This window comes from Homo sapiens, chromosome X (genome assembly GCF_000001405.40).
Source record: "Homo sapiens chromosome X, GRCh38.p14 Primary Assembly".
NCBI classification, from domain to species: Eukaryota; Metazoa; Chordata; class Mammalia; order Primates; family Hominidae; genus Homo; species Homo sapiens.
The window spans coordinates 86,284,939-86,311,610 of record NC_000023.11 but is presented as its reverse complement, the minus strand read 5'-3'; the positions used below and the strand labels follow the sequence as shown (position 1 = coordinate 86,311,610).

The 26,672-nt window shown below is 39.2% G+C and overlaps 1 protein-coding gene and 1 pseudogene across 8 annotated transcripts in view; both read right to left on the bottom strand.

The window, feature by feature from the left end:
• DACH2 (dachshund family transcription factor 2) overlaps positions 1-26,672 on the bottom strand; it is a 684,152-nt gene that overhangs the window by 520,992 nt on the left and 136,488 nt on the right. The window lies entirely within an intron of this gene.
• Positions 6,506-7,386, bottom strand: GEMIN8P3 (gem nuclear organelle associated protein 8 pseudogene 3; annotated as a pseudogene).

Here is a 26,672-nt window from a genome sequence, read left to right as displayed (position 1 = left end):
GGCTCACTAGTGGTGATGGTGAGTGGTGCCACTTCCACTTCCACCCCTTGATTCCTGGACCCATGAATCCTGGCTACGAGAGAAACAGTACCATATATTGGATGGTGATTCAGAGCATACATGGCCTTCTGGAGAACTTTGCCCCAGCCTGGCAGAGCATTGTCACCTAGTTGGTGTTGTAATTGTGACTTCAAAAGACCATTCCACCGTTCTATCAATCCAGCTGCTTCAGGATGATGGGGAACATGGTAAGACCAGTGAATTCCATAAGCCTGAGCTCACTGCTGCACTTCTTTAGCCATAGAGTGCTTTCATCAGAGGCAATGCTGTGTGGAATACCGTGATGGTGGATAAGGCATTCCGTGAGTCCATGGATGGTAATCTTGGCAGAAGCATTGCATGCAGGATAGGCAAACCCATATCTGGAGTAAGTGTCTATTCCTGTGGGGGCAAACCTTTGTTCTTTCCATGATGGAAGAGGTCCAATATAATTAATCTGCCACCAGGTAGCTGGCTGATTACCCAAAGGAATGGTGCTATATCAAGGGCTTGGTGTTGATCTCTGCTGCTGGAAAACTGAGCACCCAGCAGTGGCCATAGCAAGGTCAGCCCTGGTGAGTGGAAGTTCATGTTGCTGAGCCCATGCATAACCTCCATCCCTGCCACCATGGCCTCTTTGTTCATTGGCTCATTGGGCAATGACAGCGGTGGCTGGAGAAAGAGGCTGAGTGGTGTCCAGAGAATGGGTCATCCTATCCACTTGATTATTAAACTCCTCCTCCACTGAGGTCACCTGTTGGTGAGCATTCACATGGGATACAAATATCTTCACAGTTTTTGACCACTGAGAGAGGTCCATACACAAACTCCTTTCCTAAATTTCTTTGTCACCAATTTTCCAATCATACTTTTTGCAAGTCCCTGACCATCCAGCCAAACCATTGGCTACACCTCATGAATCAGTATATAATCGCATATCTGGCCATTTCTCCTTCCATGCAAAGTGCACAACCAGGTGCACTGCTCAAAGTTCTGCCCACTGGGAAGATTTCCCTTCACCACGGTCCTTCAGGGATGTCCTAGAAATGGGCTGTTGTGCTGCAGCTGTCCACTTTTGGGTGGTGCCTGCATATCGTGCAGAGCTGTCTGAACCAGGCCCTAGTCTTCTCTTCTCTTCCTCGGTCAACTGATCATAGGGAACTCCACATGAGGCCATTGGTGCAGGCTGGGGGAGAGAAGGCAGGGTGGCTGGGGTGAAAAGACCATGGGCATTTAAGCTACTTCCTCATGTAATTTACTTGTGCCTCCAGGACTGCTCAAGCGTGCCCAATCATGTATATACAACTTCCATTTGATGATGGAATGGTGCTGTGCATGACCCACTTTATGGCTAGATGGGTCAGAAAGCACCCAGTTCATGATAGGCAGTACAGGTTGCATAGTGACTTGATGACCCATAGTCAAACATTCAGTTTCCACCAAAGCCCAGTAACAGGTCAAGAGCTGTCTCTTAAAAGGAGAGTAGTTATCTGCAGAAGATGACAGGTTCTTGCTCCAAAATCTTAGAGGCCTTTGCTGTGATTCCCCTATGGGAGCCTGCCAAGGGCTCCAAACAGCATCCCTATCTGACACTGAAACCTCAAGCACCATTGGATCTGCTAGGTCATATGTGCCAAGTGGCAGACAACTTGCACAGCAGCCTGGACCTGTTGCAGAGCCTTCTTCTGTTCTGGACCCCACCCAAAACTGGCAGCCTTTGGGGGTCACTGAGTAAATGGTCTGGAGTAACACACCCAAATGAGGAATGTATTGCCTCCAAAATCCAAATAACCCTACTAGGCATTGTGCCTCTTTCTTGGTTGTAGGAGGGTCAAATACAGCAATTTATTCTCTACTTTAGAATATCTCAACAGGCCCCAAACCACAGAACCCCTAGAAATTTTACTGAGGTAGATTATCCCTCAATTTTAGTCAGATTTATTTCCCATCCTCTGGCATGCAAGTGTCTCCAATGTGTTTACTACTTCTTGCTCCCTGGATCCAATCAGCATAATGTCATCAATGTAATGGACCAGTGTGATATCTTCTGGAAGCAAAAAGGGACTAAGGGCTCTCCAAAAATATTATGACAAAGACGGAGAGTAGAGATACCCCTGTGGTAGGACAGTAAAGGTATATTGCTGTCCTTGCCAGCTGAAGGCAAATTGCTTCTGGTGGGGCTTATAAACAGGAATGGAGAAAAAGGCATTTGTGCAGTCAATGGTTGCATACCAGGTACCAGGTGATGTGTCATTTTGCTCAAGCAATCAAACCACATCTGGTACAGTAGCTGCAATTGGAGTCACCACTTGGTTAAGATTACAGTAATCCACTGTCATTCTCCAAGATCCATCTGTCTTCTGTACAGGCCAAATGGGAGAATTTAACAGGGATGTAGTGGGAATCACCACCTCTGTGTCTTTCAAGTCCTTAATGGTGGCACTAATCTCTGCAATCCCTCCAGGGATGTGATATTGTTTTTAATTTACAATTTTCTAGGTAGAGGCAGCTCTAATGGCTTCCATTTGGCCTCTCCCACCATAATTAGTCCTCACCCTACCAGTCAGGGAGCCAATGTGGGGGTTCTGCCAGCTGTTAAGTATGTCTATGCCAATTATGAATTCTGGCACTGGGTGAATGACCACAGGATGAGTCCAGTGACTCATTGGACCCACTGTAAGTCAGACCTGAGCTAAAACTCCATTAATTACCTGACCTCCATAAGCCCCTACTTTAACTGAAGGACCACATTGACATTATGAGTTGCCTGGAATCAACATCAGCTCAGAGCCAGTATCCACTAGTCCCCAAACGTCTGATCATTTCCCTTTCCCCAGTGCACAGTTACCCTGGTAAAAGGCCAGTGGTCTCCTTGGGGAAAGATGGGTGAAAGATTCACTACATAAATTGTTGGTAATGTAGTGTGGTCCTTCCTCAAGGGGACCCGGCCTCCCCTTCATTCAAGAGCTTCTGGTTCTGTAAACTGGCTCAAGTCTGGAAATTGATTAAGGGGCCATGATTCTCTGTTTTTATAATTCAAGTTAGTATTTTGTCCATTCGACCTACAAGTTTTCTGTTTGTATAATTTAAGTGGGAATGCAGTAAGCTTCCCATCAATTTCACTTCTAGGAATACTGTGATTAATTAGCCAATGCCAGAGCTCTACACGATTGCTGCTTTGCCTCTTTTGTCCATGATGGTAGCTATGCCCACCTTGCCTTTGACAGTCGAGTGCTGCCACTTGGCCTCTGCCACCTAAGGATCCAATTATTCCCATTGTATTTAAATTTTGTAGCTGAGTAATTGTGGTTCCCACCTTTAGGGAACCTAATATGCAGAAAAGGACAACTATAATGCTCTTCAAAAATGCAAGTACTGCTCTCATAAATCTATTTCACAAGGCATGGGTCAAGGGTATATCTTCTGGACCCTCCCAGGTGCGATGAGCAGGTCTAAAGTGATGAATACAATCTACGATCCCAATCTTCCTAAGCCTTTGGATCCCTTCCTCTACATTAAACCAAGGGAGATCAGGCATTTCCAGCTCTCTCACAGTGGGCCATCTTTTAATCCATATTTCAGCTAACCAAGCAAGTAAACTATTAAAACCTTTTTTTAACTCCCTGAGCTGCAAAATTAAGTGCAGAGTCCCTACTTAGTGGGCCCAAATCAATAAATTCTGCCTGATCCAATTCTATGTTGCTTCCACCATTATCCCATGCCCTTTGTATCCATTCCCATTCCTGTTCTCCAGATTTCTGTTTATGTAATTTGGAGAACTCAGACAGTTGTTTTCAAGTGTAGCACACCTCCTCAGGGGTCACACTTTCAACCTCACCTCTAGGGGCCCACCATGACTTTAGTCTAGTGATAGGTCTAGAAGCAAACAGAGGTGTTGGGGGTGGCTTCTGAGGAGAATCAACATTATCCTGTCTGGCAACTGCCTCACTGGAGGCCATCACTGTTACCTCAGGCAGTGCAGGGTTTATCTCCTCAGACAAAGGTGGAAAGGCTGATGGCAGCATGGGTCAGGGAGGGGATGTTGCCACTACTGGAGATGGGAAAGCTGTTCCTTCTGGCAAAAAAGCTTCATCAGAATTTACAAACACAGTGTCCCCAGCTTCATCAGGGTCTTCTCACACATCCCCATTCCAAGTTGCAGGGCCCCATTATTTTCCAATAAATGCCCTCACTTTAACAGTAGACACCTGGCAAGGAAGTCCATGCATCTTTCATTGCAGGTCAACCACTTTCATGATAAGAACTTGTGTCTATTTTTCTACATTGTCAGCTCTTTCTCAATAGGAGATAAGACTCTCACTCAGGGCAATCTTAGCAGATTTGAGGCTCAGTATCTGCTTCTGAAGCCAGGAGACAGAATCCTTGAGTTCATCATTTTGTTTCATCATTTTTTCCACTGAACTTCGGAGCAACAACCAGATTCATTATGTTCCTTGGTTCTCCATATATGGCCAATGATATTATGTGTAGAGTCACTAAACTCCTTGCCTTTCATGAGCAGTGAATCAGGAGTGTCAAATGCATTTATTTTGCGTAACTATCTAAATAGTTCATGCCAAGGAATATTGGTGTTCTCCATGCTATTAAAAGTAGAGTCCTTAGCATTTTTGGGTCTACTCATATTAAGCAGCCAACTTCAGAAACCCCAAAACCAAGGGAAAAACTTCATCATTTATATTATGTTCCTCTAGAATCACCCCACTTCTGGTACCAAAATCTTTATTAGTCAAGGTTCTCTGGGAGGGACAGAACTAATAGGACATATATATGAGTTTATTGAGTATTAACTTACATAATCACAAGGTCCCACAATAGGCTGTCTGCAAGCTGAGGAGCAAGGAGAGCCAGTCCAAGTTGCAAAATTGAAGAACTTGGAGTCCAATGTTTGAAAGAAGGAAGCATCCAGCACAGGAGACACATGTAGGCTAGGAGGCTAGGGTCGTCTTGCCTTTTCATGTTTTTCTGCCTGCTTTGTATTTCCTGGAAGCTGATTAGATTTTGCCCACCAGATTAAGGCTGGATTTGCCTTCCCCAGCCCACTGACTCAAATGTTAATCTCTTTTGGGCAACACCTACACAGACACACCCAGGATTAATACTCTGTATCCCTCAATCCAATCAAGTTGACACTCAGTATTAACCATCACAGACATCAACTTATTTAGGTTTCACATATGAGTAAGATGATGTGATATTTGTCCTTTGGTGCCTGGCTCATTTTACCTAACATAACGTCCTCCAGGTTTATCCATGTTGCTGCAAATAACAGGATTTCATTCTTTTTTGTAGCTGAGTAACATTCCATTGTTTATAAATACTACATTTTCTTTAGCTATTCATCTTTTGATGGACATTTAGGTTGATTTCATATCTTGGCTAATATAAATAGTGCTGGAATAGAGACGGGAGTATAGGTATCTCTTTGACAAATTAATTTCAATTTCTTTGGATATATATTCAGCAGTAGGATTGTTAAATTATATGTAGTTCTAATTTTCATTTTTTGAGAAACCTCCATAGTATTTCCCATATGACTAAACTAATTTACATTCCCACCAACAGTGTATAAAAGTTCTCTTTTAACCGTATCATTGCCAGCATTTGTTAGTTGTTTTGTCTTTTTGACGATAGCCATTCTAACTGGTGTGAGATGACATCTCATTGTGGTTTTGATTTGCATTTCCCTGATGTTGAGTGATGTTGAAAATTTTGTCATATACCTGCTGGTTATGTGTCATTTGTATATCTTCTTTTGAGAAATATCTATTCAGGTCTTTTGCCTATTTTTAAATCAGATTATTTAGGGTGTTTTTTTTTTCTGCTATCGAGTTGTTCGATTTTGTTATATATATTCCTGATATCGACCCCTTGTCAGACGCATTGTTTATAAATATTCTCTCCCATTCTATATGTTGTCTCTTCACTCTATTATTTCCTTTGCTATGCAGAAGCATTTTAGTTTGATGAAATCCCACTTGTCTGTTTTTGCTTTTGTAGTCTATAATTTGGGGTCTTACCCAAAAAATCCTTGCCCTGAACAATATCATGAAGCATTTCTCCTGTGCTTGTTCTTTTAGTAGTTCTATAGTTTCGAGCCTTACATTTGAGTCTTTAATCCATTTTGAGTTTATTTTTTTTTCTAGGCAAGAACTTTAATGAATTGAACTGTTATTGACAACATCAAAAAACAGTGTAATATATACAAAATTATCATTTTATATCAGGAGAAAATTTCACATGTTGTCAACAGTACACATCTGGCTGACCGCTAAGGAGCTGGCATAGTACATACACCCATGACAGGCCAACTGGGACATTGGTGAACATGCTGTGCCTCACTACAAATTCTCCTTTCCATGAGAATTGTACAGAAGGAGAGATATAGAGCGTGTACCCCCCAAAAAGGGTGAGGCTGGTGACTCTGTCAGAAAGCACTCTCAGGGGTCCCTGTGCCCAGTGCTCAGAACTTCAGGGTGATGACCAGCCAATACTTGGGCTGCTTTTCTGTCACAGTGCTTGTCAAAGCTCAGCTGCACTTCAGCCTCCATGGCCTCGATCTTGGTGGCACTCTCCCAAACAAATGTTTTATTCTCAGTCTGTTGCTGCTCACTGGGCCTCTTAGTCAGGGGCTCCACTGACCAGTAGATGTTGTAGTACAGGTCGTGGTCAGCGTTCATGTAGTCATCCAGGTATTCTGCATCCAGCTGCTGCTGCTACCATTGGTCTTCTCTGTGCCTCTGGGTCTCTGCAAAGTACTGGCAGAGGTCCTGGGTGACTTCCATATTGCTTAGGTCGCATTCTACCACCCCATCTGACTTTCTCTCCATCTCCTCCTCTTTAGGCTAAGCTTGGTCTTCTCTTGTGGATGCCTGGATCCTACTGCTGTCATGTGGATGCTGTCCAGACCTTCTGAAATCTGTAGAACGGAGGTAGGAGTCCTGCCAGGCCATGTGATGGTCAGAGAAGGACATAGGATATCCAGCCTGGTTATCGTAAGCTCTTCAGGGAAGAACTGCAGGAGGAAATGACCATGGAATACTGAAATAGGATTCCACAGCCTTCCTACAGGCATTCTGGTGGCTTTGCATCCAAGCCATGACATGATGGTAATGTTGCCAATAACGTAAATACACCTGATGAGAGAACCAAAACTCAGTAGCTCTCAAAGTTGATTCCTTTACTGCCATCACTGATTATGAAAGTCCAAATGGGCTCCAAAATTCATGAGTACACAGCTTGCAGCTTCTGAGCAGTGGGCAAGCAGGGTCCCATTTTTCACTGGAGAGACAGAGGAGTAGTCAGGGGAAGGCTGTCGCCAGGGCAACTCCGAGGTGATTTTTGTGTAGGGTAAGAGAGAGGGGTCTAGTTCCATTCTTCTACATGTGGATATCCAGTTTTCCTAGCACCATTTATTGAAGCAGCTGTTCTTTCCCCCATTGTGTGTTCTTGGCACAAAAATCAGTTGGCCGTAAATGCATGGATTTATCTGGGCTCTTTATTTTGTTTCAGTAGTTTATCAGTCTGTTTTTATGTCAATGGCATGCTGTTTTGGTTACTATAACTATAGTATATTTTGAAGTCAGGTAGTGTGATACCTCCAGCTTTGTTCTACTCAAGATTGTTTTGACTATTCTGAGTCTTTTGTGGTTCCATACGAATTTTCAGATTGTGTTTTTTATTTCTGTGAAGAATGTCATTGCTAGGAATTGCACTGAATCTGTAGATCGCTTTGAATAGTATTTATTATTTTTAATAGATGAAATTCTTGCAAGATTCACTCTATAAGTCAGGTTATGGGTACAGAAAGATATATATATATATAGTATGTTCACATAATTATACATATGTGCTTATATATCATTACAGGTAGATTGCTTTTGTTAAATGAATGAATGAAATATTGATGAGATTTGCAGAAACATAAAATCCAAAGGTAGAAAGAAATATTAAAAGTCATCTGGTGTACCCCACTTCCCAACTGATACTTGAGTCCTCTCTTCAGTACCCCACTAACTGGTCATCCATCCTCTGATTGAACATTTCCACTTGATGGTAAATGCACCATTTGTTTAAATAAGTCTATTCTGTCTTTGGACAGCTCAGACTAATATGTTCTACTTCACATTTGGACCCATATTGCTTTTTGTTTAACCTCACCCTCTATAGCCAATATAACAAATGGAAACGGAAAGCTCTGTGGTCAAAAAGTGAACGCAAAAAGAATGTCTGCTTTCAGAGTTCTCATAAAACCAGATTACAGACCCATGAACGTGTCCAGTTTTAGGAGTGAGGAAACTTGGGACCACAGAGTAACCTTGTGCAAGACCATAAGGACTACTTAGTAGCAGTAAAGCTAAAATTCAAGTCTCCTGATTCCTGGTGCAGTGCTCTTTATGTATGTTTTCCTCCAATATCCTTAGTGGTTTAAGAACATGGACTATGGGGCCACAATGTCTGCGTTTGAATCCCACCTCCACAACATACTAGATGTATAATTTGAGGCAAGCTACTTACCTGCTCTGTGCTTCAGTTTCTCATCTGCAATATGAAGATAATAATAGTACCTCTTCATACATTTTGGGAATATTGTTTGTGTTAGCATTGCTATCTTCTTAATAAGTGCTGAGAACATAGTAAAATTTACTCATTACATATTGGTTATTATTATCATTTATCATCTTTTCAAACTTGCAAAACACTGCACAGCCATATTACCAATGAATTCCTAAGAATCTTTAGGCTCCCCTAAAACATATTTGACTCTGGAGCATTCCTTCTTTCCTTTGAGGAAAAAACAATGTAAGCTTCCTAATTATTATATATAAAATATATGTGCTATATATAGATATATAAATAATACATAATCTAAAAGCTATTGTATACTACTTTCAAACTTCTCTCAAAGAAATCAGTCCTTTTAACAGTTTATTAAATCTATGGTCCTGGCAGAGACTTGGGTAAACTTTCTGACTTGGGTACCAAAGAGCAAACCTTTTCTTCCCAGCACACCCAGAAGTTTCTAAGTGCACTCAGGAGAAGATATAAATAAAGAATTGCAAGCAAATATAAAAAGAATGGGCAAATCACCATTTTAAAAGGTCATCTGTTACCCCATGGAAATGTTTGAAAAGGTATACAATTAATTCTCTATAATTCAGGTCAATGAAAACAGTAGCCAACTAATCATTTTTTCCACTAGTTCTCTTTATAAATAAATGTCAACTATCAAGTGCCAACTCACGGCTAGAACACTACATGCATAAACCTATTATTAGCCAGCTCCTAGTTATATTAACTGGAAGATTTCAAGGCAGAAGGAAGTTAGATACTAAGGAGATCTACTTTCTATATTTATGCAAAGTTAGGAAGTCAAAGATTGCATCTACAGCTATTTAAAATGAAATAAAATAATAAAATAAAATAAAATATATATGTATAAAACCCTGTCCTTTTCCTTTCATTTTTTTCTTCATGCATTAAGTACAAGACATTTAAGCCAAAATTTTCTTCAGACAGAAGTCAAAACTTTCCCAGATAAAAAGGACATTAACTACACATTAACACTGGGTCAAGTGGTAATTGCAAATTCTCCTTATTTATTTTAAGGCTTTGTAAAACAGCAGAAGAGAAAGAGGTGGGAAGAATATAAGTAGAATCAAAGTATGGATACACTGGACTCCCATAAGTATAGACCATAGCATTTGAAAAATTTTAGAAATCCTTCTGTGTCTGTGCCATATTCAGGACAATTAATATACTGCAAATATACTGATAAGATAAAAATTCCAACCATGTATCAAAAACGCAGTTGACAACTTGTACATTATGCAATTATGACTGTCATTTTACTACTGTTATTAATTTATTAGTGTAATTACATTTTTTCAATGTCATAATGTGATAATAAAGGATTTGTCATTACTAAGTTAACCTCCAAACATCTCTGACCTCAGGGGAGGTAGTTGTACACTTTCAGTCCAAAATGAGCTGTCAGTTACCACAATGACATTTTGATGACTACATTACCTTGTAATTAAATGTCTCAACAAACTTCTGCTTTTGATTGACAGGTAGTTAAGACTATCATTGACCACAGGGCAGTTTTTTTTATATTTCAAGAATAATCTTCCTTGAATTTCAAAAATAATTTTTTATCACTGAAGCAGAAGGGCAAGGCTTTAAAATTAAAATGTCTTCAGTAATATATTTATGAACCTGTATTTGTCACTGATAAAACAAAGAAAATTCTGCTACATTAGATGTATCTGTTGCACAATCCATTGTCTTGCTGGAAAACTTTGACTAATAAATTTTTATGATGTTCTCATACAAATAATTCCATCACTTTTCTCTCCCATGCCAAATTTTTCCATGACTGATGTAAGAGAAAGCCCCAAATAATGGATTTTTGTATATGCTTTATAATCTTTATTCCTCTTACCATTCTTAAGTCCAATGTGTTACTTCAGTATTTGAAGGGCAATATAGGTCACAAATAACACAAACATTGTATTCTTTTTCCCTTCTTCCAGTTACCTTCCTTAATAAGTGAACAACTAAAGGAATCCACTTCATACTACATTGTTCACAATATGGCCAATAACCTTTGTACTGCTTCAGTTTGAAATAAAACTTTTCTTAGCTGGTGCTAAATATTTATTCCATTTTAATAATTTTTAAATCAAAGGAAGCTGAATGAGCACAGAAAATGGCAAAATACAATTTCCATGTGCAATACCCTGACTAATATAACTATAAATTGTATAGTCAAGTATTCAAGTATAAAGCCACTGAGCATTTAAATGAAGAGGACCCACCTGAATTTTATTTTTGCTTATTTTTATTGGGCTAAACATTTTTTTATTATTATACTTTAAGTTTTAGGGTACATGTGCACAATGTGCAGGTTTGTTACATATGTATACATGTGCCATGTTGGTGTGCTGCACCCATTAACTCATCATTTACATTAGATATATCTCCTAATGCTATCCCTCCCCCCTCTCCCTTCCCCCACCCCACAACAGGCCCCGGTGTGTGATGTTCCCCTTCCTGTGTCCATGCGTTCTCATTGTTCAATTCCCACCTATGAGTGAGAACATGCAGTGTTTGGTTTTTTGTCCTTGCGATAAATTAAGAACTGGAATACTAATAAAATAAACTTTTTAAAAACAAGTCTTTCTCATGATTAAAATAAAAGTAATACAAAATGAGAAAATCCATTAGTAAAGTGAAATAGCATTAAAACCCAACTTTATCAGTATGAAATTAAATATACACATTTTTCTTAAGCACTATTATGCAATTTTTTTTTTCGCAAAGAAGTAAAGTTCAGTTCCTTCAAGGTTCTTCATTAAATATTCTATTTGAGATGCCTATATAATTAACGGCTAATGGGTACAAACATAGAGTTAGAATAAGTCCTAATGTTCTATACCAGGGTAGGGTGACTATAGTTAACAACAATGTATTGTATATTTCAAAACAACTGAAACAGAGGACTTGAAATGTTCCCAACACATAGAAATGCTAAACACTCAACATGTTGGATACCCATCTAGTTGACCATTACACATTCTATGCATGTAACAAAAGTTATCATGTATCCCATAAATATGTACAAATATCATGTACCAATAAAAAATTTAAAAAATACAATGATAATCTCTAAAATAAGTTTTATGTTGTTACTGTCAGCCAACTGTGAATTTTATGGAAATATATACACCTTCTCAAAAAGCTGACAAATGGAGGAGGCCAAAGGGGGAGAAATGCCACAAATGGCCCTGATTTTAAGCCAAGCTCTATGTGGATGCATATTATTTGAAAATTTTTGCTTCTTCATTTGAATGAACACCGACATTTTTTTCAAGTTATGAAATAAACCTGAGACTTCTCAGAATATAAAACAAATTTTGGGTGGTAGTCACTCTCTTCCCCATTGTAGGTAAAACAAACCCAGCCTAAAGCAACCATAACAGCTCCCCATTGTCCTGAATATTCCTTAAGTAATCATATCTCAACACACATATCTTTATGAGATGCAAAAAGAAATTCAATAGCTAACATAGATCCAGCAAAGAAGTACTGAGCATCTACTTTGTGCTGAGCACTGTCAGAATCACTGCTAAGCTGAACATGATCCATTATACACATGTCACTGGATATAAGGAAGCTGAAGTAGAATGAAAACCCCCTCATTGGGGGCATGGAAAAGTAGAGAGAACTGCATCACAGTGTAACATAAGAGTCATAACAAAATTGTCTCTTATTTGTCATAAAAGGTTCATCCACAGTAGCTTAATTATAAAAGGCAACCAACATTACGTATTCTCCTTCAAAAAAGATACTGTATATTCACAAATAACATTTGTGTACCTTATAAAAGTAAAGCTTGAAGCAACTAAAATATTTGGGTACAAATCAGAAATTGTTTTAAAAGAAAGATGTTGACAGAGTAAAAAGAAACTTTCTAAACTCAATATATCCCAGAATCTAAAGATACAAATTAAGAAATAATGCAAGTTGACTATGGACTGAACAAAGACAATACTTTGATTACATTTCCTCTTAGCCAATGAACAGGGTGGAGTGTCCTTATCATTCAACAGCACAGTTTCACAGTCACAACAAATTTTAAACTTCACTGTGGTTTTCTTCAAACTATTATGAAAATTATTTAAATCTAGTAATATACAAAAGGTGCAGAAAAACAAAAAGAAATATGAATAAGCCAAGCAACTCAAAGCTAAAATAATTTTTGCCATCATTTTACAAGTTGGACCTGAACTCTGAAACCTTTTTTGTAAAAATAATTCAGAGATACCTGGAATGATTGATCTAATTAGGTACTTTTCAAAAGTATAAAGATCATCTCTACAATGACATTTTTAACAGAGAATTAAAGAATTGTGGATGAAAATGACTTAGTTTGGGGTTTATTGAAATAGTACTACTCCTTGTGGCTATATTGTCTTTAAACTAAAAACCTAAGTAAGCTCCATAAAATGCACTTTACCCAGTTTATTCTATTATAAAACTTCATAAATATGTCAACAAAACCACTTGGTCATTTATCTAAGAGGCCACAGTGAGATATCGTTAGAGCAAACAAGAGAATTAAGAGTGTTTCTTGTAAGCCTCTATTAACTACAATATTCATATTAGTCAGTTGTGCAGAAAAATAGAGTTAAAAGAGGAAGCAAATAAAATATAACATGTTTTCTTAAATCAGAAATCAGCCTCCCACAAAAATCATAAGAAGGAAACAGAAACTGGAGGTAGACCAAGAGGGTCAAATCACTACTGAGAATTATGGAAATATATCATTTTGGATGACAGCCATTGTACCAGCCATCTCCATCTAATGATGCTGCAACACACTACTACAATTCAAACATTTCTAGGGCTCTAAAGCAAAACCAATACAAACAATGCGCTCAGGAACCACATTATATCCTCATATTATGAAATGAATACCTATAACATGGAAACCAATTCATTTATACAAATGTCACTTCAATAGAAGGCAGAAGGCAAGGAGGTTCACTGCTGGCCAGGCCTGAGTCACCTGTGGAACTATCTTGTCAAGTTTTATATGTCATTCTTAGAGTAACTATACATCCCAATTTCCCTGAACCTGCTTCCTTGTTTATGCCTGTTGTTGTGATGTAATTATTAATAGCGGTCACTTTCACTTTCAAAAGTGTTCCAGTTTGGAAAATAAAGTACACGATTTCCCTATTAATATCCCATTGACTATATATAAATGTCTACAATTATCTACTAGAGGAAATATTTTTACTTTATCCTTTATCCAGAGATTGTACTTCTGATAACAATAAGAATAGAGCATGAAACATTTTCTAAGCCAACATAATATGGTGTGACCATTGAGCGTTATCAGTAACAATTCAGCTATCACCAATTTAACACACTTAGCCCCTGATTCACCTGTAGTAGAGTAATTTAACAGCCTTATACAATCTGACTGCTTTCCAATAAATTATCTTTTTGTCATTACTCTTGTCAGGAAGAGATTTCATTTGGAAGGCTTCTAAAATGTTCCACATAAAATCATATAATTACAGGACCACATATTCCTATTACAACTAACCTCCTATGATGGGGTTGCTATATGCTTCGGTGTTCAGACAGCTGCTCACACACCACTGCAACTGACAAATTAATTTTTTAAAGCAGAAAACAGAAAAGTACTCGCTATCACTGTGTAGTCATGGAGGTTGTATCAGATTAGAGTGAGAGCTAGATGTGACCCATGGACTGAGAATTTGGTCTTGTTTGTCCCTTGGCCTTTGGAAAGAATGCCCAAAAGAATGTCCTAAGAAGGTCGAAGCTATTTTTTCTCTAACCCCATAATATTCTGAAAATTGAGCTACTTACCCTATTATACAGTAGCCAGACCAATGGTTCCTATGTGTACAATTGTAATGTTTTTCATTGTGTTAAGTGCTCTAATTATATATATATATATATATATATATATACACAATTATATTTATTTATAGGACTGTATATGTTTCTATACATGACTCTGAAGCCAGAAAACGTATGTTTGCATATATGTGCATGCATGTGTATGTTATGACATGTGTGTCTATATATGTGCTACATCCCTGTTTCTTAGTTCACTATCTACCAACAAGATACTACCAGTCATGTGTATTATTTTATGTTTTGTGCACAATCTATACATGCCCCCCACAACCTGGATTCTCAAGAATGGTCTACCATAATAAAATGAATAAGCCTAGTAAAATGTGTAAAGTCTCCAGTATATATGTAATAAATTTTACCAAATATTTTTGTGAAAGATTTTTAATCAAAGTGATATGTATGTGTACATCTCAAAATACATTTGTTATCAAAAGGATTCTATTGGTACTCATTTTAGAGACAAACCAAAAGAAAGCACAGTAACAAAGAGGGTCTAATAATGAAAAAATAAGATTATCCTCTAATATAAATTTATAAAACACACTGCCAATAATTCTTTCATTTATAGGCAAACTTGAACATGGGATCTCTAATAATAAAGATTAAAGTTGACTTATATAGTTGAGGTGATGTATTTGTCACAAATTATATCAAATATGTCATGAACTAACTTAAGATATTTCTTTTTTTTTTTTTTTTTTTTTTTTTTTTTTGAGATGGAGTCTCGCTCTGTGGCCCAGGCAGGAGTGCAGTGGCGCAATCTCGGCTCACTGCAAGCTCCGCCTCCAGGGTTCACGCCATTCTCCTGCCTCAGCCTCCCGAGTAGCTGGGACTACAGGCCCCCACCATCACGCCCGGCTAATTTTTTTTGTATTTTTAGTAGAGACGGGGTTTCACCGTGTTAGCCAGGATGGTCTCGATCTCCTGACCTCGTGATCCGCCCGCCTCGGCCTCCCAAAGTGCTGAGATTACAAGCGTGAGCCACCTCGCCCGGCCAAGATATTTCATATATAATTTTCACAAATAATTTTTGGTAAAAAAGTTAAATTATTATTGCATCCAAAATTTTAATTAGGTGTTCAAGGCAAGATGGCAGAATAGGTTTCACCAATCATTTTCCCCACCAAAGGATATCAATTTAACAACTATCTATACACACACACACATCCCTTCATAAGAACCAAAAATAAGGTGAGCACTCATAGTACCTGATTATAACTTCAAAATCACTGAAAGAGGCACTGAAGAAGTACAAAAAAAAAATCTTGTTCTCTGATGCCACCCCTCCCAAATCCCCCTGGCTCCTCTGTCTTTTGAAGCTTATTGTGGAGACCATTTCTGTGTCTGAGGAGACAGAAATCATAGCAATTGTGAGGCATCAAACTCAGTGTTGCCCTCTTACAACAAAAAGCAAAACCCGACCAAACTCAGCTGATGTCCGACCAAGGAGAGAGCATTTAAACCAGCCCTAGTCAGAGGGGAATTGTCAATCCTAGTGGTCCAAACTTGAGTTCCCACAAGCCTCACCACCATGGGCTAAAGTGTTCTGGGGCCGCAAATAAACTTGAAAGACAGTCAACACCAAGAGGATCACAACTCCTGAGCAAGCCGAAGTGTTAAACTGGGCCCAGAGAGAGTGAACTGGTTGGGTATGAAACCTGCTTAGAGCGAATAGGAACAGCTGCGGTCTACAGCTCCCAGCGTGAGCGACGCAGAAGACGGGTGATTTCTGCATTTCCATCTGAGGTACTGGGTTCATCTCACTAGGGAGTGCAAGACAGTGGGTGCAGGTCAGTGGGTGCGCGCACCGTGCGCGAGCCGAAGCAGGGCGAGGCATTGCCTCACTTGGGAAGCACAAGGGGTCAGGGAGTTCCCTTTCCTAGTCAAAGAAAGGGGTGACAGACGGCACCTGGAAAATCGGGTCACTCCCACCCGAATACTGTGCTTTTCCGATGGGCTTAAAAAACGGGGCATCAGATTATATCCCACAACTGGCTCGGAGGGTCCTACGCCCACGGAGTCTGGCTGATTGCTAGCACAGCAGTCTAAGATCAAACTGCAAGGCGGCAGTGAGGCTGGAGGAGGGGCGCCCGCCATTGCCCAGGCTTGCTTAGGTAAACAAAGCAGCCAGGAAGCTCGAACTGGGTGGAGCCCACCACAGCTCAAGGAGGCCTGCCTGCCTCTGTAGGCTCCACCTCTGGGGGCAGGGCACAGACAAACAAAAAGACAGCAGTAACCTCTGCAGACTTAAATGTCCCTGTCTGACAGCTTTGAAGAGAGCAGTGGTTCTCCCAGCACGCAGCTGGAGATCTGAGAACGGGCAGACTGCCTCCTCAAGTGGGTCCCTGACCCCTGACCCCTGAGCAGCCTAACTGGGAGGCACCCCCCAGCAGGGGCAAACTGACACCTCACACAGAGTACTCCAACAGACCTGCAGATGAGGGCCCTGTCTGTTAGAAGGAAAACTAACAAACAGAAAGGACATCCACACCAAAAACCCATCTGTACATCACCATCATCAAAGACCAAAAGTAGGAAAAACCGCAAAGATGGGGAAAAAACAGAGCAGAAAAACTGGAAACTCTAAAAAGCAGAGCGACTCTCCTCCTCCAAAGGAATGCAGTTCCTCACCAGCAACGGAACAAAGCTGGATGGATAATGACTTTGACAAGCTGAGAGAAGAAGGCTTCAGACGATCAAATTACTCTGAGCTACGGGAGGACATTCAAACCAAAGGCAAAGAAGTTGAAAACTTTGAAAAAAATTTAGAAGAATGTATAACTAGAATAATCAACACAGAGAAGTGCTTAAAGGAGCTGATGGAGCTGAAAACCAAGGCTCGAGAACTACGTGAAGAATGCAGAAGCCTCAGGAGCCGATGCAATCAACTGGAAGAAAGCGTATCAGTGATGGAAGATGAAATGAATGAAATGAAGTGAGAAGGGAAGTTTAGAGAAAAAAGAATAAAAAGAAACGAGCAAAGCCTCCAAGAAATATGGGACTATGTGAAAAGACCAAATCTACATCTGATTGGTGTACCTGAAAGTGACGGGGAGAATGGAACCAAGTTGGAAAACACTCTGCAGGATATTATCCAGGAGATCTTCCCCAATCCAGCAAGGCAGGCTAACATTCAGATTCAGGAAATACAGAGAATGCCACAAAGATACTCCTCGAGAAGAGCACCTCCAAGACACATAATTGTCAGATTCACCAAAGTTGAAATGAAGGAAAAAATGTTAAGGGCAGCCAGAGAGAAACATAGGGTTACCCTCAAAGGGAAGCCCATCAGACTAACAGCTGATCTCTCGGCAGAAACTCTACAAGCCAGAAGAGAGTGGGGGCCAATATTCAACATTCTTAAAGAAAAGAATTTTCAAGCCAGAATTTCATATCCAGCCAAACTAAGCTTCATAAGTGAAGGAGAAATAAAATACTTTACAGACAAGCAAATGCTGACAGATTTTGTCACCACCAGGCCTGCCCTAAAAGAGCTCCTGAAGGAAGCGCTAAACATGGAAAGGAACAACCGGTACCAGCCGCTGCCAAATCATGCCAAAATGTAAAGACCATCGAGACTAGGAAGAAACTGCATCAACTAACAAGCAAAATAACCAGCTAACATCATAATGACAGGATCAAATTCACACATAACAATATTAACTTTAAATGTAAATGGACTAAATGCTCCAATTAAAAGGCATTGACTGGCAAATTGGATAGTCAAGACCCATCAGTGTGCTGTATTCAGGAAACCCATCTCACGTGCAGAGAGACACATAGGCTCAAAATAAAAGGATGGAGGAGGATCTACCAAGCAAATGGAAAACAAAAAAAAAGGCAGGGTTGCAATCCTAGTCTCTGATACAACAGACTTTAAATCAACAAAGATCAAAAGAGACAAAGAAGGCCATTACATAATGGTAAAGGGATCAATTCAACAAGAAAAGCTAACTATCCTAAATATATATGCACCCAATACAGGAGCACCCAGATTCATAAAGCAAGTCCTGAGTGACCTACAAAGAGACTTAGACTCCCACACATTAATAATGGGAGACTTTAACACCCCACTGTCAACATTAGACAGATCAACGAGACAGAAAGTCAACAAGGATACCCAGGAATTAAACTCAGCTCTTCACCAAGCGGACCTAATAGACATCTACAGAACTCTCCACCCCAAATCAACAGAATATACATTTTCTTCAGCACCACACCACACCTATTCCAAAATTGACCACATACTTGGAAGTAAAGCTCTCCTCAGCAAATGTAAAAGAATAGAAATTATAACAAACTATCTCTCAGACTACAGTGCAATCAAACTAGAACCCAGGATTAAGAAACTCACTCAAAACCGCTCAACTACATGGAAACAGAACAACCTGCTCCTGAATGACTACTGAGTACATAACGAAATGAAGGCAGAAATAAAGATGTTCTTTGAAACCAATGAGAACAAAGACACAACATACCAGAATCTCTGGGACGCATTCAAAGCAGTGTGTAGAGGGAAATTTATAGCACTAAATGCCCACAAGAGAAAACAGGAAAGATCCAAAATTGACAACCTAACATCACAATTAAAGGAAATAGAAAAGCAAGAGCAAACACATTCAAAAGCTAGCAGAAGGCAAGAAATAACTAAAATCAGAGCAGAACTGAAGGAAATAGAGACACAAAAAACCCTTCAAAAAATTAATGAATCCAGGAGCTGGTTTTTTGAATGGATCAACAAAATTGATAGACCGCTAGTAAGACTAATAAAGAAAAAGAGAGAGAAGAATCAAATCAACGCAATAAAAAATGATAAAGGGGATATCACCACCGATCCCACAGAAATACAAACTACCATCAGAGAATACTACAAACACCTCTACGCAAATAAACTAGAAAATCTAGAAGAAATGGATAAATTCCTCGACACATACACTCTCCCAAGACTAAACCAGGAAGAAGTTGAATCTCTGAATAGACCAATAACAGGATCTGAAATTGTGGCAATAATCAATAGCTTACCAACCAAAAATAGTCCAGGACCAGATGGATTCACAGCCGAATTCTACCAGAGGTACAAGCAGGAACTCATACCATTCCTTCTGAAACTATTCCAATCAATAGAAAAAGAGGGAATCCTCCCTAACTCATTTTATGAGGCCAGCATCATCCTGATACCAAAGCTGGGCAGAGACACAACCAAAAAAGAGAATTTTAGACCAATATCCTTCATGAACATTGATGCAAAAATCCTCAATAAAATACTGGCAAACTGAATCCAGCAGCACATCAAAAAGCTTATCCACCATGATCAAGTGGGCTTCATCCCTGGGATGCAAGGCTGGTTCAATATGCGAAAATCAATAAATGTAATCCAGCATATAAACAGAACCAAAGACAAAAACCACATGATTATCTCAATAGATGCAGAAAAGGCCTTTGACAAAATTTAACAACCCTTCATGCTAAACACTCTCAATAAATTAGGTATTGATGGGATGTATCTCAAAATAATAAGAGCTATCTATGACAAACCCACAGACAATATCATACTGAATGGGCAAAAACTGGAAGCATTCCCTTTGAAAACTGGCACAAGACAGGGATGCCCTCTCTCACCACTCCTATTCAATATAGTGTTGGAAGTTCTGGCCAGGCCAATTAGGCAGGAGAAGGAAATAAAGGGTATTCAATCAGGAAAAGAGGAAATCAAATTGTCCCTGTTTGCAGACGACATGATTGTATATCTAGAAAACCCCATTGTCTCAGCCCAAAATCTCCTTAAGCTGATAAGCAACTTCAGCAAAGTCTCAGGATACAAAATCAATGTACAAAAATCACAAGCATTCTTATACACCAACAACAGACAAACAGACAGCCAAATCATGAGTGAACTCTCATTCACAATTGCTTCAAAGAGAATAAAATACCTAGGAATCCAACATACAAGGGATGTGAAGGACCTCTTCAAGGAGAACTACAAACCACTGCTCAAGGAAATAAAAGAGGATACAAACAAATGGAAGAACATTCCATGCTCATGGGTAGGAAGAATCAATATCGTGAAAATGGCCATACTGCCCAAGGTAATTTACAGATTCAATACCATCCCCATCAAGCTACCAATGACTTTCTTCACAGAATTGGAAATAAACTACTTTAAAGTTCATGTGGAACCAAAAAAGAGCCCGCATCGCCAAGTCAATCCTAAGCCAAAAGAACAAAGCTGGAGGCATCACACTACCTGACTTCAAACTATACTACAAGGCTACAGTAACCAAAACAGCATGGTACTGGTACCAAAACAGAGATATAGATCAATGGAACAGAACAGAGCCCTCAGAAATAATGCTGCATATCTACAACTATCTGATCTTTGACAAACCTGAGAAAAACAAGCAATGGGGAAAGGATTCCCTATTTAATAAATGGTGCTGGGAAAACTGGCTAGCCATATGCAGAAAGCTGAAACTGGATCCCTTCCTTACACCTGATACAAAAATCAATTCAAGATGTATTAAAGACTTAAACGTCAGACCTAAAACCATAAAAACCCTAGAAGAAAACCTAGGCATTACCATTCAGGACATAGGCATGGGCAAGGACTTCATGTCTTAAACACCAAAAGCAATGGCAACAAAAGCCAAAATTGACAAATGGGATCTAATTAAACTAAAGAGCTTCTGCACAGCAAAAGAAACTACCATCAGAGTGAACAGGCAACCTACAAAATGGGAGAAAATTTTTGCAACCTACTCATCTGACAAAGGGCTAATATCCAGAATCTACAATGAACTCAAAGAAATTTACAAGAAAAAAACAAACAACCCCATCAAAAATTGGGCAAAGGACATGAACAGACACTTCTCAAAAGAAGACATTTATGCAGCCAAAAAACACATGAAAAAATGCTCACCATCACTGGCCATCAGAGAAATGCAAATCAAAACCACTATGAGATACCATCTCACACCAGTTAGAATGGCAATCATTAAAAAGTCAGGAAACAACAGGTGCTGGAGAGGATGTGGAGAAATAGGAACACTTTTACACTGTTGGTGGGACTGTAAACTAGTTCAACCATTGTGGAAGTCAGTGTGGCGATTCCTCAGGGATCTAGAACTAGAAATACCATTTGACCCAGCCATCCAATTACTGGGTATATACCCAAAGGACCATAAATCATGCTGCTATAAAGACACATGCACACGTATGTTTATTGTGGCATTATTCACAATAACAAAGACTTGGAACCAACCCAAATGTCCAACAATGATAGACTGGATTAAGAAAATGTGGCACATATACACCATGGGATACTATGCAGCCATAAAAAATGATGAGTTCATGTCCTTTGTAGGGACATGGAGGAAATTGGAAATCATCATTCTCAGTAAACTATCGCAAGAAGAAAAAACCAAACACCGCATATTCTCACTCATAGGTGGGAATTGAACAATGAGAACACATGGACACAGGAAGGGGAACATCACACTCTGGGGACTGTTGTGGGGTGGGGGGAGGGGGGAGGGATAGCATTGGGAGATATACCTAATGCTAGATGATGAGTTAGTGGGTGCAGCGCACCAGCTTGTCACATGTATACATATGTAACTAACCTGCACATTATGCACATGTTCCCTAAAACTTAAAGTATAATAATAATAAATAAATAAATAAATAAAAGAAACCTGCTTAGACACCAACCGAGGCAGCTAAGGGAATGCTTACATCAACCCTCCCCTAACCACAGGCTGCACAGCTCGCAGTTCCAAAAGATACCCCATCCTTCTGCTTGAGGAGAGGAGAGATAAGAGTGAGGAGGACTTTGTCTTGCATCTTGAATACCAGCTCAGCCACAGCAGAATAGGGCACTGGTCAGTCATGAGGCACCCTTTCCAGGACCTTCCTCCTGAGCAACATTTCTGGACCCATCCTGGGCCATAAGGGAAACTTCTGCCTTGAAGGGAATGACCAAGACCTGGAAGAAGTCATCACCTGCTAACTGAAGTGCCCTTGGCCCCTGAATAACCAGCAGTGATACCCAGATACTACATCAAGGGCTGTGAGACACTGAGACTTGCTGGCTTCAGGTGAGACTCAACACACTCCCAGCTATGGTGGCTACAGGGCAAGACTCCTTCCACTTGAGAAAAATAGAGAGAAAAGTAAATGAGACTTTGTCTCACTACCTTAGGTACCAGCTCTGTCACAGGATAATAGAGCACCAAACCAGACTTGAGAGTACTTATTCCAGGACTTGGCTATAGTACAGCATTTCTGTACCTGCCTTGGGCAAGAAGGGAGCCCACTGCCCTGTAGAGTGAGTCCAAAGTCAGAGTATTCAACACAAGCTGAGTGAACAGCCCTGGGTCTTAAGGAAATATCAGTGGTAGTCTGGCAATATTCTCTGTGGGCCTATGGTAGTGGTAGCCACTGGGTGAGGCTCCTCTGCATTTAAGAAAGGGAGGGAAGAGTGAAAAGGACTCTGTCTTGTGGTTTGAGTGCCAGGGTAGCCACAGTACAATAGAATACACAATTACACCTCTAAGGTGTGTGACTCTAGGGCCTGCCTCCCAGACAGCACCTCTTGGTATGTCAGGCGTCTGGGGGAGCTCACCACTCTGAAGGGAAGGACACAGGTCTGGAGGCTTTTCTACTGCTGATTGTAGAGCCCCAGGACCTTGAGCAAACATAGGCAGTAACCAGGGAGGGGTTACAGCAGGCCTTGGGTGAGACTCAGTGCTGTGGTGGCATCAGGTCTGACCCAGTGCAGTCACAGAAGTGGTGGCCATAGAGGTAGTTGTCACTCCACCTCTAGCTTTAACTGACTCAGAACAGAGGGAAAGACTCCTTTTCTTGGGAGATAGTAAGGGAGAAGAACAAAAATCTCTCTCCTAAAAATCTGGAGAATTCTCTGCAATCTTGTCCAAGACCATCAAGGTAATACCTCTAGGAGTCTGCAAGAGTCACAGAGCTAACTGGGCTTAGGGTGCTCCCTAAAGCACATACAGCTTAGATTGCATCACCCAAGTCCTTTCAAATATCTGGAAAGCCATCACAAGAAGGATAGGTACAAACAAACACAGACTGAGATGAATACAAAAAATACCTAACACTTCAATTCCCAGACACTGAGGAATATATACAAGCATCAAGACCCTCTAGGAAAACATGACCTCACCAAATGAACTAAATAAGGCACCAGGTACAAAAACTGGAAAAACAGAGATATGTGACCTTTTAGATAGAGAATTCAAAATAGCTGTTTTGAGAAAACTCAAAGAAATTCAACATAACGCAGAGAAGGAATTCAGAATTCTATCAGATAAATTTAATTAAAACATAGAAATAATCAAAAATAAGCAGAAATTCTGGAGCTAAAAAATGTAATTGGCACACTGAAGAATGCATTAGAGTCTTAAAAGTAGAATCAATCAAGTAGAAGAATAAATTCATGAGCTTGAAAACAGGCTATTTAAAAATACACAGTCAGAAGAGATAAAAGAAAAAGACAAAAACAACGAAGCACACCTACACGATCTAGAATATAGACTCAAAAGAGCAAATATAAGAGTTACCGGCCATAAAGAGCAGGCAGAGAAAAATGTAGTGGTAGAAAGTTTATTCAAAGGGATAATAACAGAGAATTTCCAAAACCTGGAGAAAGATATCAATATCGATGTACAGGAAGGTTATAGAATACCAAGTAGATTTATCCCAAAGAAGACTAACTCAAAGCATTTCATAATCAAACTCCCAAAGGCCTAAGATAAAGAAAAGATAGTAAAAGCAGCAAAAGAAAAGAAACAAATAACATACAATGGATCTCCATTACATCTGGCAGCAGACTTTTCAATGGAAACCTCACAGGCCAGTAAAGAGTGGCAGGACATATTTAAAATGCTGAAGGAAAAAAATATATTTACCCTAGAATAGCATATCTGGCAAAAATATCCTTGAAACATGAAGGAGAAATAAAGACTTTCCCAGACAAACAAAAGCTGAGGGATATCATCAACACCAGACCTAGACCTATTATAAGTGACATGCTAAATGAAGTCTTTCAATGAGAAACAAAAAATTAATGAGCAATAAGAAATCATCTGAAGGTACAATCCTCACTGGTAATATTAATAGTAATTACAGAAAAAAACACAGAATATTACGACACAGTAACTGTGGTGTGTAAATGCTCTTACTTTATATAGAAACACTAAACAATGAATGAATAAAAAATAATAACTACAACTACATTTTCAGACATAGTAAAATAAGATTTAAATAGAAACAACTAAAAGTTTAAAAGTTGGAGAATGAAGCTAAGGCATAAAGTTATTGTTGTTTCCTTTTTGCTTGTTTGTTTGTTTGCAAGTTTACGCAAACAGTGTAAGTTGTCATGAGCTTAAAACAATGGTTTATAAAATAAAATTTGCAATTCCCATGTTAACCTTAAAGCAAAAAAATACAAGGGGTCCAAAATATATATATAAAGCAAGAAACTAAACAGTATCACCAGAGGAAACCACCTTCTCTAAAAGGAACACAGGAAGGGAAAAAATGAAGGAGGAGAATACCACAAACTACCAAAAATCAAACAACAAAATGGCCGGAGTAAGTCCTTACTTAACAATAATAACAATGAATGTAAATAGACTAAACTCTCCAATCAAAACAGACTGGCTCCTGTAATCCCAGCACTTTGGGAGGCTGAGGCGGGTGGATCATGAGGTCAGGAGATCTAGACCAACCTGGCTAACAAGGTGAAACCCCGTCTCTACTAAAAAAAATACAAAAAATTAGCCGGGCGCGGTGGCGGGCGCCTGTAGTCCCAGCTACTCGGGAGGCTGAGGCAGGAGAATGGCGTGAACCCGGGAAGCGGAGCTTGCAGTGAGCCGAGATTGCGCCACTGCAGTCCGCAGTCCGGCCTGGGCGACAGAGCGAGATCCGTCTCAAAAAAAAAAAAAAAAAAAAAAAACAGACTGGCTGAATGGATGGAAGAACAAGAACCATTGATTTGTTGCCTACAAGAAACACACTTCACCTATAAAGACACATATAGACTGAAAATAAAGGAAAAAGATATGCCATCCAAGGCAAACAAAAAAGAGCATGAGTACCTACATTTATATCAGAAAAACTAGATTTCAAGAAAAAAAACTATGAGACAAAGAAGGTCATTATGTAATGATAAAGGAGTCAATTCAGCAAGAAAATACAATTTAAATATATATACACCCAACACTGGAGCACCGAAATGTATAAAGAAAATATTATTAAAGCTAAAGAGAGGTGAGACCCCAATACAGTAATAATTGGAGACTTCAATACCCCACTTTCAGCATTGGACAGATCTTTCAGACAGAATATCAACAAAGAAATATTGAATGGACATAATCTGCACTTATAGGCCGAATGAACATAATAGATATTTACAGAACATTTCATCCTACTGCTGCAGAATGCACATTCCTCTACTCAGCATGTGGATCATTGTAAAAAAAAGACCATATCTTAGGTCATAAAACAAGTCTTAAAACATTCACAAAAATTGAAATAATACCACGCATCTTCTCTGAACACAATGAAACAAAACAATAACAAAAGGAATTTTGGAAACTATATAAATACACAAATTAAACCATATGCTTCTAAATCACCAGTGGGTCAATCAATTATTTAAGATGGAAAAATTTTCTTAAAACAAATAATAACAAAAATACAACATACAAAAATTGATGGAATACAGTAATAGCAGTACTAAGAGAAAAGTTTACAGCTATAAGTGCATACATCAAAAATGAAGTAAAACTTCAAATAAACAATCTGATGAGATATCTTAAAGAACTACAAAAGCAAGAGCAAACCAAACCCAAAATCACTAGCAAAAAAGAAATAACCATGAGAACAAAAATAAATGAAATTGAAACAAAAATAATGCAAAAAACGAATGAAACAAAAGGCTGATATTTTTAAAAGTTAAAATTGACAAACCATAAGCCAGACTAGCTGATCAAAGAAGAAAGAAGATTCAAATAAATAAAAAAGATTAAATAAATGAGAGAAGATCCAAATAAATACATATAAGTAAATAAATATAAAAGGAGACATTACAACTAATACTGAGAAATTCAAAGAATCATTAGTGGCTACTG